Genomic DNA, 15,064 nt, shown 5'->3' on the forward strand with positions numbered 1-15,064 from the left:
TCTAGGGTGTTGGCAGAGGGCCCCTTCTCTTGATCTTTGGCATATACCTGAGTGTTGGGCAGAGTGCTGACACTACCTACTGCTGTGTGATCATCTTCCTGTACAGATGGGGGGAAAAAAACAGAGGCTCAGAGAGGTGAAATAACTTGTCCCAGGTCACACAGCAGTAAGTAACAAAACTGGTATTTGAACCCAAATCTGGCCTTAATTACCCAACTGGGCCATATTCTAGGAGACCATTCTGGTGAAGAACCACGAAGGTGGGGAAGAAATCTGAGGCATAAGGACCACCCTTTGAAGCTTCTGATCTCTGTGGGGAGATGGGCCATTGTGATCCAAGACTGGGGAGTGATGGGGTGCAGAGGGAGGCACTGGAGAGGTGGCCCAAGGTGTCCTGGAGGAGTCGGTGGTCTCAGCCCAAGCTTGAGGGTTGGCCATGCTTTTGGGTGGGCTGATGAGGGGAGGTGAGGGCATTCTCAGCAGGGCACAGCATGGACAAAGGTTTGGAGGTGGGAAGAGCGTAGAATGTTGTGGGGGACATGTGGAAATGGACTTAGCACCGCCCTGTGTGATGTGGCATCAGCAAATCAGGCCACAGATTCTTCCTTTGCCACTTGCAGCTGAGTGATACAGGGCAAAACCTTTCACCTCCCTGCACCCGAGTTTTCTTGTCTGTAAAAGGGACTAGGTGGCCAGTCTGGAAGTGGATGCTGCAGAAAGGAAACTCTAGGATACAGTCAGTAATGATCATGCGGTGAGGATTTGCCTTCAGTTAAGAGTGGGTAAGTGATGGAGTCAGGCTTTGAACCCATGTCTGTTCCCAAGAGGCCAAGCTCTCCAACCACCATGTGCAGGATCACGCAGACTTGGCATCTGAATCTCCACGCTGCTACTTGCCTGCTGTGTGTAAAGCAGCCTCTTGGCCTCTCCTGGCCTCAGTTGCCATGCCAGAGTTAACAGGGATTCCTGCCCCAAAGCACTGTTATTAGACTGAATTGAAATAAAGCACCGAACTTGGGCCATCCCCGTGTGCTTCCTGAGAAGGGTTTCATCTGTCCCTACCTGCAGGCTGATGTTGTGGTAACAGTGGAAGAAGGAAGAGGCCAAGGAAATGCGACACTTATGTTTGCCAGCACCTTGCTCAGGGCCCGCTGGTGGTGGGGGAGTCGGGATGTTGTGGAGGGGGGATCCTGGGCTCAGCTCTGTCCCGCAGCCCAGCCTTGGATGCCTGCCTGGAGCACGCAGGCCCCAGCAGTGCTGGTTGTCAGGGGATCTGTTTTCTCACCACGGGATTGGGAAGCCTTGGACCAGCTTCCCGTTTCTCTCTTGTCTCCTGCCAAAAGATCTTTGGTTCTTTGATCTTAAAAAAAAAAATAAAAACACACCAATACAGAAGGAAAAAATGTTGGTTGTTAAAATTTTGAACCTTACAGGGGTATAGAAAATAAAAGGTGAGTGTTCCCCCAGAGGCAGCCACCATTACATTGTTTATGTCCTTTCGGACTTTCCTATATTGACAGTCACTTATCAATCATATATATATGCATAATTGTCATGCTTTTCATATTGCAACAGTAGCGAATGCTTGCGTAAAATGTGAAATACTGGCTGGGCACGGTGGCTCATGCCTGTAATCCCAGCACTTTGGGAGGCCGAGGCGGGTGGATCACGAGGTCAGGAGATTGAGACCATCCTGGCTAACACGGTGAAACCCTGTCTCTACTAAAACTACAAAAAAATTAGCCGGGCACAGTGGCGGGCGCCTGTAGTCCCAGCTACTCCGGAGGCTGAGGCAGGAGAATGGCGTGAACCCGGGAGGCGGAGCTTTCAGTGAGCCAAGATCACGCCACTGCACTCCAGCCTGGGCGACAGAGAGAGACTCCGTCTCAAAGAAAAAAAAAAATTTTGAAATACTATAGAAAAATGGTGTAGAGAGAAAATCTCCTTTAAATATTGAGCGTGGTGCATAAACTGGGGAACACCCCTCTAGGCCCATTAGTGGTTTTTAACTATGGGCAATTTTGCCCCTGGGGCACATTTGGCAGTGTCTGGAGACATATTTTGTTGTTGTCACACCCTGGGAAGAGGTTGCTATTAGCGTCTCATGGGTAGAAGCCAAGCATGCTGCCCAACATCCTACAAGGCACAAGACAGCCCCCACTGCAAAGAATGCTCCAGCCCCAAGTGTTTGCAGTTTGTAGGTTGAGGAACCCTGGTCTAGACACAGACATAGATAAAGGTAAATGCATAGACTTAGATATAGGTAAATACATAAGCTTTCTATGGAAAACTACAACAGTCTATAGAAAATCTTGTGGCTTACTTTTGTTTTTTGAGATGGAGTTTTGCTCTTGTGGCCCAGGCTGGAGTGCAGTGGCAGGATCTTGGCTCACTGCAACCCCCGCCTCCCGGGTTCAAGTGATTCTCCTGCCTCAGCCTCCTGAGTAGCTGGGACTACAGGTGCACACCACCATTCCTGGCTAATTTTTTGTATTTTTAGTAGAGATGGGGTTTCACCATGTTAACCAGGCTGGTTTTGAACTCCTGGCCTCAAGCAGTCTACCTGTCTTGGCCTCCCAAACTGCTAGAATTACAGGCGTGAGCCACTGCACCCGGCCTCCCCTTCCTCTTTTTAATGGTTGCGAAGTATTGTATTATGTGACTGAGCCCAATCTATTTTAACCTAGACTCTCATTGATGGGTATTTGGGTGGATTTGAATTTTTGTGTGTGTTAGAAACAGGGTTGTGCCGGGTGCAGTGGCTCACATCTGTAATCCCAACACTTTGGGAGGCCGAGGCTGGCAGATCACTTGAGGTCAGGAGTTTGAGACCAGCCTGGCCAACATGGTGAAACTCCATCTCTACTAAAAATACAAAAATTAGCCGGGCTTGGTGGCGGGTGCCTGTAGACCCAGCTACTTAGGAGGCTGAGGCAGGAGAATTGCTTGAACCCAGGAAGCGGAGATTGTAGTGAGCGGAGATCGTGCCACTGCACTCCAGCTTGGGCAACAGAGCGAGACTCTGTCTCAAGAGAAAAAAAAAGAAGAAGAAAAAGAAACAAGGTTGGTTCCTTGGGTGAGGGTTTCTTGATTTACAGCCCAAAAGGGTGTGATGGTCATTAAAGTGATTCCTTCCTCTCTCCATCCCTTCCTCTCTCCATCCCTTCCTCTCTTTTTCTCTGTTCTTCACTTAACAGACATTTATAGAAACTGTTTCCCAGACCCAACAGTATTTCATTTATTTAAATTATTTATTTTAGTTTTAAGAGAGAGACGATTTCACATGGCTCCACTCCAAAAATACTTAAAAAACATTCCCCTGATACCTGCCATGCTTACATTTCTTCCACCCGGTAATCACTTTTATTCCTTTTTTTTAAATTCCTTTTTTTCTTTTGAGGCTTCTTTATGAAAATACAAGCACATAGAAATACATATTTTTATTTTTGCTTCACTTTTCCATAATAAAGAGCACTTTCTCTAAGTGGTTGAAACTTTGGTTGCCTATGGGAGTAACACAGGGAATCCTAAAAGATATCAATGACTGGGCCTCTCTCCAGGCCAGTTAGGTCAGAATCTCTGGGGTAGGACCTGCCTTTGTTAGTTATGAAGGCTCCCCAGGGGAATCTTGGGTTGAGGATCTCTGTTGAACCCACAGATTTTCCACCTTTCTGTTTTTCATATAATGTGTCTTGAGAGTTTTTTTTTTTTTTTTTGAGCCAGCGTCTCACTCTGTCACTCAGGCTGGAGTGTAGTAGTGAGATCATGGCTCACTGCGGCCTCAACCTCCTGGGCTCGAGCAGTCCTCCCACCTCAGCCTCCCAAGCAGCTGGGACTACAAGCACATGCCACCACACCTGGCTAATTTTTTTTCTTTTCTTTTTTTTTTTTTTTTTGAGACAGAGTCTTGCTCTGTTGCCCAGGCTGGAGTGCAGTGGCATGATCTCGGCTCACTGCAACCTCCACCTCCTGGATTCAAGCAATTCGCCTGCCTCAGCCTCCCGAGTTGCAAGGATTACAGGCATGTGCCACCTTGCCCAGCTGATTTTTATATTTTTAGTAGAAATGGGGTTTCACCGTGTTGCCCAGGCTGGTCTTGAACTCCTGACCTCAAGTGATCAACCTGCCTTGGCCTCCCAAAGTGCTAGGATTACAGGCGTGAGCCGCCACCACCACCATGCCTGGCCTCTTTTCCTTTTTTTTTTTTTTTTTTTGAGATGGATGGAGTCTCACTCTATTGCCCAGGCTGAAGTGCAGTGGTGTGATGTCGGCTCACTGCAATCTCCACCTCCTGGGTTCAAGCAATTCTCCTGCCTCAGCCTTCCAAGTAGCTGGGATTACAGGCGCTCGCCACCATGCCTGGCTAATTTTCGTATTTGTAGTAGAGACGGGGTTTCACCATGTTGGCGAGGCTGGTCTCAAACTCCTGACCTCAGGTGATCCACCTGCGTCGGCCTCCCGAAGTGGTGGGATTACAGGCATGAGCTACTGCGCCTGGCCTTCCCTTTCTTAATGGTACCCTTTAAAGCACAAAAGTTTTTAATTTTGAAGAAGTCTATTTTATTTATTGTTCTTTTGTTGTTTATGCCTTTGGTATCATATTTAAGAAATCACTGCCTAAGCCTAGCTCTTGAAGATTTACACCTCTATTTTCTTCTAAGAGTTTTCTAGCTTTAGCTCTTACATTTAGGTCTTTGATCTATTTCAAGTTGATTTTGGTATATAGTATGTCAGATTTGCAGCATGTTTTGCAGGTAGAGTCTCAGCTTTGCTGATGCAGTGGAGAAAAGTGGGAGAGAATGGGGAGGAGAATGGAGGGCAACCCGAAGGTCTTGGCCTCCCCAGCTGGGGGATGGATGGGCAAGGTGTGGGAGGAGCAACTGTGGAGAGATGGAATCAAGACGCATGTTTTGAGCACGTGGATCTGAGATGAGTGTGAGCTTCCAAGAGATGTTGAGTGAGCAGTGGGATCTCCGAGTCTGGAGTTCCAACACTGAGAAACAGAATTGGCAGGCATCTGGGTGTAGATGGGATTTATTTAAAGCCATGGGGGGCGTGAAGAGAGATCCCAGAGGGAATGATGTAGCAAAAGGAGAAATGGCTCTGCGGCTGGCCTGGGACATGTGGGGACACTGATCAAAAAGAGCCAGGGGGTTAGGAGGAAAACCAGAGGGTCTCTGAAGGCATCCAGAAAAGAGGCTGTGAGGGAAGGGATTAGAAATCCAGTCTTCCTCTTCCTGGTGCTGTGTGTTCTTAAGCAGCTCCCTCCCATCTCTGGGCCTTTGTTTCCTTGTCCACGCAGGGAGAGTGTGAAGCATATAAAATATGCATCCTGGAGTCCTGGCCTGTGAATGTTTCCCCTATATATAACTAAGTGGAAAAAAACAGCAGGATTCCAAGTAGATGTACTGGAGGTGCTGTGCTGTTCATGCACCGTTTCTCTGTGTCTATGCATGTGTGTTTGGGTGCATAAAGAGATGATTAAAATAAGGTCACCAAGAATGACCACTGGCAGTAATGAGGCCAGCCAGCATTTATGGAGGGCTCCCCAGGTGCCAGGGATGGAGGAGGCTAGGGTAAGCCAAGCCAGGTGCCCAGGACTTGTGCACGTCTGCCCCCTGGTGGCTATACTGCATCATGTACATTCCATGTGCTGTTTCTTAGCGCCTAGAAGCTGGGTGCTGTCATCATGGGGTTCCTTTCCCAGATAGTTGAGGCTCAGAGAGGTTGAGGCACCCACCTGAGGTCACACAGTTATTAAATGGCTGAGGCTGGGCCACTGGAACCCAGAGCTACCGCCCTACATGTTACCTCTGATCATTAAAGTGGGGGATTTCTGGGGGTTTAATTTTCTTCTTTGCCCTTTTTGGTACAGAATGGACTCTTGGCATAATATATTTTTTCCTGTAAATGAGAAGGCTCCCAGTAAAGTCCTTTTCTTGTGCTCTGTGTTTCAGGTGCTGCCACGGGACCTGGAGAAGGAGGATGCCCCCCAGGAGAAGGAGCGACCGCTCCAGCAGGTGTCCCCTGTGGCCTCGGTTCCCTGGAGAAGCCACAGCTTCTGCAAAGACAGGAGGAGTGGGCCCTTTGTGGTGAGTGATGCAACATGGCTGGAGAGGATTGCACAGGGGTGCTGGTTGCTGGACACTGCTGTGAATGTGGTTGGTGGAGCATCTGGACAGCCCAGGGCCCTGACGGGGTTGAGGGCAGCAGGCAACTGTCCAGGAATCTGGTGTCACCTGACTAGCTGTGTTGTGGTTCTTGATGTGGAGGGTGTTTGGTGGCTCTGCTGGGGAAACCTTCTTCCTCTTGAGTTTCCAGCCCAGCACTGCCTGGCATGGAGTGGTTAAGGGAACATAGACTGGTGTTGGAAAGTCCTGGGTTCCAATCCCAGCACGGTCTCCTGTCAACCTCTTTGAGATTTTGAGCAATTTACTTAATTTCGCTGCACTTCAGTTTCTTCACCTGGAAAACAGGATCTTGATTCCTATCTAGCTGTGTTGCGAGGATGGAATAAAAGTGTGTGTGGGGCCCAGCACGTCATAACACATTTAGGAACTGACAGTTATGGTGATAACAGGAGGCAGCAGAAAGCTGGTTCCAGAGCCAGATTGCCTGGGTTCAAGTCCCGGATCTGCATACATTCACGTGTGACCTTGGGCTGGCCTCTGGCTTCAGTTTCCTCATCTGTAGAATGGGGATAATAATAGTATCTACTTTACAGGGCTGATGTGGGGCTCAGATGAGAGAATTCATGAAGTGCTTAGCATGCTTCTGGGTACATAGCAAACAATAAGTGTCATCGTCACATAATTATTACTCTTGCTGTTACTGGTACGACTGTCCTTGTTTTCAAGTCTCCCTCTGGCTCTTGCTTATCTCTGTGTCCTTGTGCCCTCTTCCCCCTCATCCTGTTTCCTTACTTGTGAAAGGAGGTGAGTACACACTGAGCAGGCCCCAGGGACAGCTGTCCCATTCAGAGCTTCAGTGTGCCCACATGGGTTCCAGGGCTTCGCCACCTCCAGTGAGTTTCTTTTCGGACTTTAGTTCCATGCTGTTTGGAGTTTTGCACTTGCTCATGAAGCCCCTTTCCGGCCCAGGTCCTATACAGGGGCATCGAAGACAGGGCTCCTAAGGCAGCGACACTTCTGCCCACAAAGGCCTCTTTGGTTGCTCAGCTCCACAAGCTTCAGGGATACCTGGGCCTGGTCTCACGTTTTGGAGACATATGATTTTGTGCTGAAGCTCCATTGAGAGTCCATCCCTTCCAGTTTTATGGCCACAGGCAAGAAACTTTGCTTTCCTGAACCTCAGTTTCCACTTCTGTAAAATGGGGGTAAAGAAGATACCCTGGCATGGTTTGTGCTAGGAGTGATGCAGAACAGCCACAACGTGAGCCCGACTGTGGGGCTGAGGGAGACGGGCCGGGGAGGAACTCAGATCCCAGCTAGGTGTTTACTGAGCAGCCCAGGAATTTTCCTCGAGGATCCAGATCCTAGCCAAAGATTCACACACATTTGAAACCTGCCTGGATTTTTTGATAAACATTCCCTTCCATTGACTTCTTTCTCAGCTATTTCTCCAGTCCCTCTCAGATAGCTCTGACTTAGCTTATCTGATTGTACTTGAACTTTTATGAGTGTGTGTGTGAAGACAAAGGTGATGGGAGAGAAGCATTTTAAACCTGTCTTTTTAGAGTCTGCTTGCTGGCATCCTCCTTGGCCGTCCTGCTCCTCCTCTTTCACTCTCTGTCATTGAAGAGCTTTTGTCCTTGGAGTCCTCGGGCAGCTTGCCTTGGCTCTTTCCTTCTGGCCTCTGAGGCCCCTGCCCCACTCTTGCCTGCTTGATTTCCTCTCCTCAGAGGTAGGTGGGTGGAGGGACTTAGCATGAACCGGAGAGTGCTGGGGCCTCAGACCTCATTTCCCTGCTTTTGGGACTCATACCTGCAATTCTGGGGAGTGGCCACAAGGAGGAGGTGGTGTTCAGCTCCTATCCTGGTGCCTCCAACAGCCCATCCTAGAGGGACCTTTTAGTATTGGGCTCTGGAGGCTGAAAGAAGTGGCTTTAAGTTCCAACTCTGCCACTGTGTGACCTTGGGCAAGTGACTTCATGGACGTCACTAAATATCAGTTTTTTCTTCTGTAAGATAAGGATAGTTCTCTATGACCTCAAGAGTATTTTTGTGAGTAGTAAATGAGATCACCCAGCACATAGTAAATTCTCAATGTCTCAACTGCAGTGGTAGCTTTTGCTTCTTTCTCCCTCTTCCCTTCCTCCTTTCCTGATCCTTTCCATCTCTTCTACTTTCCCTTCCCTTTCTCATCCTCCTCCTCCCCTTCCTCTCCTCTGCTTTTTTTCTCACCTGTCCAATTCTCTTTTTATAAAAGGGGAAAGTGAAGCCAGGAGAGAGGACCTGACTTAACCAGGGTGACCCAGCAGAGGAGGGCTGGGGTCCTGAGCCCCTGGTGGCTGTCCCTGCTCCTCTGGAAATTGGTCATACATGCATTTTGTGTCTCATGAGGTGTTTGAAGGGATTCACTGTGTCTGCTATGATTCCCATCACTGCTTTGATGAATGACTTTGTGCTGTTATTTTCCCATTTAAGTTCATGTTCATCTTCATTTTTTGAGCCTCTCAGGCCTTGCCAATTCCTACTTCAGCCTCATGTTAGTGACCATGAATCCTATTTTGCAGAGCAGGAAAGTGAGGCTCAGAATGCTTCAGCCCCTTGCCCAAGGCCACACAGCTGCTGGGGGAGCTGGAATGGAAACGGGGCCTATCTCACTCCAGCCTTGGCCCCAGGCCCTTCCCGCCATGGGCCTGTGCTTTTGGCCTATGGCCAACCCCTGCCAGCCCCTGCCAGCTCCTCTCTCTCCTGGGCCTGCAGCACTCCGTGCATTAGCTACATGAGGAAACAAGACACCCTGAGCCCTGGGACTCCTCCTGGAGCTGAGAATGTGATATTTGCTCAGCCCGGGGTTGGCCATCAGCTGCTGTGCTGCTGCTGTCTTGCAGAGGGTGCCTGGGACCTGCCAGGCCAATGCCCTGCTGATTTGCATAGCCCTGCCCATGGTTGCTGAACTACAGACCCTGCCACTTGCTAGAGGCCTTGAGCAAGTGAGTTTACCACTCAGGGCCTCACTTTTCCTCCTCTATAAAGTGGATAGTGATAGCAATAACAAAGCCTAACACTTACTATCGTTACATGTCATGTAGATACTGCTATTATTTCCACTTCACAGATGGGCAAACTGAGGCTCAGAGCCATTAAGTGTCTCTTCCAAGTTCTGGGTCTGCAGTCCATGCTCTTAAGTGTCTGCTGAACTTTCCACTCGTCTTACGTGGTAGCCCGGTGGGAGGACAGAGCCCAAATGAGATGATGCTTACAAAGCTCTTAGCACAGTGCCTGACACCGAGAAATGGCTTCACAAATCATAGCAGCTATTATTATTATTATTATTTGAGATGGAGTCTCACTCTGCCGCCCAGGCTGGAGTGCAGTGGCATAATCTCGATTCACTGCAGCCTCTGCCTCCCGGGTTCAAGTGATTCTCGTGCCTCAGCCTGCTGAGTAGCTGGGACTACAGGCGTGCACCACCACACCAGGCTGATTTTTGTATTTTCAGTAGAGATAGGTTTTGCCATGTTGGCCAGGCTGGTCTCAAACACCTGACCTCAAGTTTTCCGCCAGCCTTGGTTTCCCAAAGTGCTGAGATGACAGGTGTGAGCCACTGCACCCGGCTTATTATTATTTTATTATTATTTGCGGCCAGGTTTTTTTTCTATGCTCTCCCAAAGAGCTGATGGGAAAGACAAACATCCATAGCCTTAGAAGTTTTTCTGCAGTTGAGGAGACAGGCCCAGTGTAGGGAAGTGTCTTGTGTATGGTCCTGTGGCCTCTAGAGGCAGAGCTGGGGCTGGAGTTCTTCTTTGTGACTCCTTGGCCAGTGCTCTCTGTTTCTCCCCATCTCCCTTGTTACTTTCAGGGTTCCCCTCAGGACCTCGAGTCCACATGGCGAATCCAAGTCCTGTATCAGGCTTCCTCCCTCTCCTCTTTTCCCCAGGAAGTGAGCTTTGGTCTGCATTTTCACAGGGACCATAAAACACAGTGACTCAGTTGTGGACTGTGACCTCGAGTCACAGTTTACCCTGGAGGCCCATCTTGTGACGATGAAGTCAGAGATTCATCAGCTGGGAGGCTTCCTTGCAATGGGCCAGCGGGAGGGCCTCTGGTAGTCTCTAGAATTTTCTCCCAATCCCTGAAACCTATTGGTTAGCATATGCTGGCTCATTTGGTTCTTGAGTTTATTTCTTTTTGGGCCTACTATGCGCCAGGCCCTGCATGATGGGGCCTGGAGATTTTCTCCGTCAGCCTCCTGGAGTTCACAGCCCAGGGGTCTGAAAATGACCTGGGAGGGTCCAGTTAGGTGCAGGAAGTAGGAGGGGAGACATTTGGGACTGAGAACTCACACAGACAAAGGGGGGTGCTTGGAGGACCAGTTGGGCTGAGGTAGAGTGTTTAGGGATTTTGCTCCTTTTTTTGACAAATATTTATCTGCATGTGGTAAGTGCTATGCTGGGCAGTGGGCTACAGTTATGACTAAGGCATAGACAATTAAGAAGGTAGGTAAATAGGCCAGGCACAGTGGCTCACGCCTATAATTCCAGCAGTTGGGGAGGCCTAGGCAGGCGATTCGCCTGAGCTCAGGAGTTCGAGACCAGCCTGGGCAACATGGTGAAACCCTGTTTCTACTAAAATACAAAAAAAAAAAAAAAAAAAAGAAGAATTAGACTGGCGTGGTGTTGCGTGCCTGTAATCTCAGCTACTCAGGAAGCTGAGGGGCAGGAGAATCACTTGATCCCAGCTACTCAGGAGGCTGAGGCAGGAAAATCGCTTGAACTCGGGAGGCGGAGGTTTTAGTGAGCTGAGTTTTCGCCACTGCACTCCAGCGTGGGTAACAGAGTGAGACTCCATCTCAAAAAAAAAGAAGGTAGGTAAATAATTGCAGTGGGTTCTAATAGCTAATTTTCTTTTTTTTTCTTAAACAACAGAAATTTGCTTTCTCACAGATACACAGGCTAGAAGTCCAAGATGAAGGAGCTAGCAAGGCTGGCTTCTAATGAGGCTCCTCTCCGTGGCTGACAGCTGTGTCCTTCATTTGTCTTTGCGTAGCCTCTTCTGTGTATGCAGGGTGGGAGGTGGGTGATAGGTAGATGTCTCTGGTCTCTCTTCCTCTTCGTTTGCCAGTTTATTACAAAAGATAAGCTGTAGAAGCAGAGATGCGTAGGGTGAGGTATGGGGGAGGGAGTGCAGAGCTTCCATGCCCTCCCTGGGCACGCCACCCTCCAGGAACCTCCCTGTGTTCAGGTATCCGGAAGCTCCCTAATAGCTACTGTTTATTGAACATTTACTATATGCCAGGCATCATGTCATGTGCTTTAATTTAATTTGAATTTGTGTAAAGTCTCCCTGGAGGAGGGAGGGGGTGTCTCCACTTGGGGAGGGCTAGCTGAGAAGCAGGAGTTCGAGACCAAAGAGTCTGAGTTCTAAGTCTTGAAGGCTGAGCAGGTGTTTGCCAGGTAACTATGGTCTGGGGAACAGTGGTTTGCCCCTGATCGAGGGAACAGCATGGGCAGAGGTTTAGAGGCGTGAAATTGTGCTCTATACAACGGATGTCATCTGGGGTCCTTTAAACTTGACTTCCACGTGACCCTCCTGGACACCCGCAGTGTTTGGTTTTACACTGAGCTCAGACTTTCCCACATCTCTAACTGGTGAAACTGTGGCCCTTTGCTTCTGAGGCTGGTGCTGTGTCATCGTCATGCCAGCATCTTTGTACGCAGGATCTGCCAGGGCAAAGGTTGAGAGGTTTGAGAGCATTTGGACCTGATGACTTTGTTATTAAGACTGGAAAAAGGAGGGGAGGAACATTTGGATTCTGCTGACAGCAGTGGTAGTCCTTGTGAGTGTAATCAACTTGAAATAAGTGGGAACTTGTGAGGTGGCCCCCGCCCAAGAACATATCCTGGCTGCTAGTTAGAGATTCCCTCTAGATTTCAGTTGGTTGACAGCGAGTCCAAATGAGAAGGAAACAATCAAAATGAAAGACCACACAAGGACTGCTGAAAGTAACTCATCAAAGGTTGTGACTGAAAAAACAAGTTGTGGGCTGGGCGCCGTGGCTCATGCCTGTCATCCAGTGACTCAGGAAGCCAAGATAGGAGGATTGCTTGAGGCCAGGAGTTCCAGACCAGCCTGGGCTGAACATAGTGAGACCCCTGTCTCTAAAACAATGAATAAATAAAAATTTAAAAATTAGCCATGGTAGCTCATTGAGATATTTATTTTCATTTCCCTAATGACTAATGATTTTGAGTATCTGTTCATATGCCAAATGACCAGTTGTATATCTTTTTGGCAGAAATGTCCGTTCAAGTCCTTTGCCCATTTTTGAATCAGATTGTTTTTTCTTTGTTGTTGAGTTGTAGGAATACATACACACAAACATATATATAGATAGATATAGATAGATATAGATATAGATATAGATATAGATAGATATAGATACAGATACAGATATAGAGAGAGAGACAGGCAAACAGACAGACAGGATCTGGCTCTGTTGCCCAGGCTATAGTGCCGGTGGCATGATCTCGGCTCACTGCAACACCTCGTGAGTTCAAACCATCCTCCCACCTCAGCTTCCCAAGTACCTGGGACTACAGGCATGTGCCACCATGCCCAGCTAATTTTTTTTTTTTTTTTTGTATTTTTGGTAGAGACGGGGTTTTGCCATATTGCCCAGGTTGGTCTCGAACTCCTGAACTCAAGTGTTCCTCCCACCTTGGCCTCCCAAAGTGCCAGGATTACAGGCATGAGCCACCACGCCCAGTGGAATATTTTATATATATATTCTGGATATTAATCCCATATCAGATATTTGCAAATATTTTTTTCCCATTCTGTGGGCTGTCTTTTCATTCTCTTGATAATGTTCTTTGATGCACAAAATTTATAACTTTGATGAAGTTTGATGACGCCCAACTTTTTCTTTTGTTGCCTGGAAAAGGATTTTTAAAATTGAAGTGTGAGATGAATACAGAAAAGAGCTCATATCCTAAGCCAGATGGCCTGGGTTTAAATCCCAACTCTGCTACTTACCAGCTATGTGACTTTGAGTGGATTGACATCTCCGTGCCTCAGTTTCCCCATCTCTGAGACTGGGATTATAACAGAGCCTACTTGTTAGAAATGCGGTGAAGTGGCCGGGCGCAGTGGCTCACTCCTGTAATCCCAGCACTTTGGGAGACCGAGGCGGGGTGGATCATGAGGTCAGGAGATCAAGACCTGGTCAACATGGTGAAATGCCATCTGTACTAAAAATACAAAAATTAGCTGGGCATGGTGGCAGATGCCTGTAATCCCAGCTACTCGGGAGGCTGAGTCAGCAGAATCGCTTGAACCCGGGAGGTGGAGTTGCAGTGACCCAAGATCGGGCCACTGCACTCCAGCCTGGTGACAGAGTGAGACTCTGTCTCAAAAAAAAAAAAAAAAAAAAAAGGCAGTGAAGTGAGATGAGCTCCTATGCACAAGGTGCGATGAACAGTGCCTGACACCTGGTAGGTGCTTTGTAAGTGTTGGCTATTGTTGCTGTGACTATGTTAGACACTGAGTTTCTATGTGGCAGACGCTGTGCTAAGCACTGTGCAAACACCATCCCATTATCCGTCTTCATACTCCCCACGTTCTACATGAAGTTCCATTTCCTGGCACTTTTCCCCTAAGTGACTTCACTATATTCTGAAGTGCCAAGAGGATGCCCATTTAAGAGATTCTGAACCTGAGGCTCAGAGAGGGGAGGTGACTGGCCCCGCAACATGCAGTGAAGAAACAATGATGGCTGGATTGAATCCAGACCTGTGGACTTAGCCCTTGCAACTTGGGAGGAGAAAGGGTGTCTCTAGTGGGGCAGGATCCCCAGGTGGAAGAAGGATGGCTGGCTTCGGTTTCAGCAGTGCCACCTGGAGCTCCGGGGCTCTGTGGGCTCCCAGGGACCAAGGCCACGCAGGGCCCCCAGCTGGATGCCGACCGGCCCGCAGGAGAGAGATGAGTGAATGACAGGGACACCTGTTCCTTGCAAAGCCTCCCTTGTGGAGTAGGCCAGCATCCTGGCGTGCGCGCGTCCCCTGGTGGAACAGCGTGGGATTGCGGGCTCTAGAGGCTCCCCTCACTGTTGGAAGGAGACCCAGGAGAGTGAACCTTTTCCACCTGTTAGCCCATTAGCTCACAACGCACTGCCGCCATCTCACAGATCAGGAAAACGGAGGCCCAAAAGGGTAACGTCACATGTCCAGTGCGCTCTGCTGGGCATTTTTTTTTTTTTTTTTTTTAGACAAGGTCTCACTCTGTTGCCCAGGCAGAAGTGCAGTGGCACAATCATGGCTCACAGCAGCTTGGACCTGGGCTCAAGCGATCCTTCTGCCTCGGCCTCCCAAGTACCTAGGACCACAGGCATGCGCCAGCATGCTGGCTAATTTTTGTATTTTTTGTAGAGACAGGGTTTCGCCATGTTGCCCAGGCTGGTCTTAAACTCCTGGGCTTGAGCTATTCACCCTCCTGGGTCTCCCAAAGTGCTGGTATTACAGGCATGAGGTACCGCACCCAGCCTCATCCCTCCTTTGAATAGAATCCATCCTAGCACCCTGTGGCAGACATGAGTTATGGAAAAAGCAAGTTTAAGACTTCAGGGTGTGATGAAGGATCCAGATTCCAGATGCAGCCCCACCAGTTGGAACCTAGATTTCTTCTTCTGGAAATGGAAATAACTCACTCAGGGAGATTTTCAAAACTTAGATACCCAGGTCACATCCCAGAAATTAAATCTAAATGCATGGGGGCAGGGCCTGGGCATCAGTGTTTTTTAAATAGACTTGACTTTTTAGAACAGTTTTAGATTTACAGGAAAATTGGAATGATGGTACAGAGAGTCCCCATACACCCACACCCAGTTTCCAACTGTCATCACCACCTTGCCTTAGCATGGTATGTTCATTACCATCAATG

The 15,064-nt window shown here is 48.6% G+C and overlaps 1 protein-coding gene across 6 annotated transcripts in view; it reads left to right on the plus strand.

The window, feature by feature from the left end:
* KIAA1671 overlaps window positions 1–15,064 on the plus strand; it is a 244,733-nt gene that overhangs the window by 90,557 nt on the left and 139,112 nt on the right. For all 6 annotated transcript variants that reach the window (NM_001386933.1, NM_001386932.1, XM_047441556.1 and 3 more), the window contains one exon: window positions 5,958–6,092. In NM_001386933.1, the coding sequence (NP_001373862.1) occupies window positions 5,958–6,092 (135 nt within the window). The remainder of the gene's footprint in view (window positions 1–5,957; window positions 6,093–15,064) is intronic.

Source organism: Homo sapiens, chromosome 22, assembly GCF_000001405.40.
Source record: "Homo sapiens chromosome 22, GRCh38.p14 Primary Assembly".
NCBI lineage: Eukaryota > Metazoa > Chordata > Mammalia > Primates > Hominidae > Homo > Homo sapiens.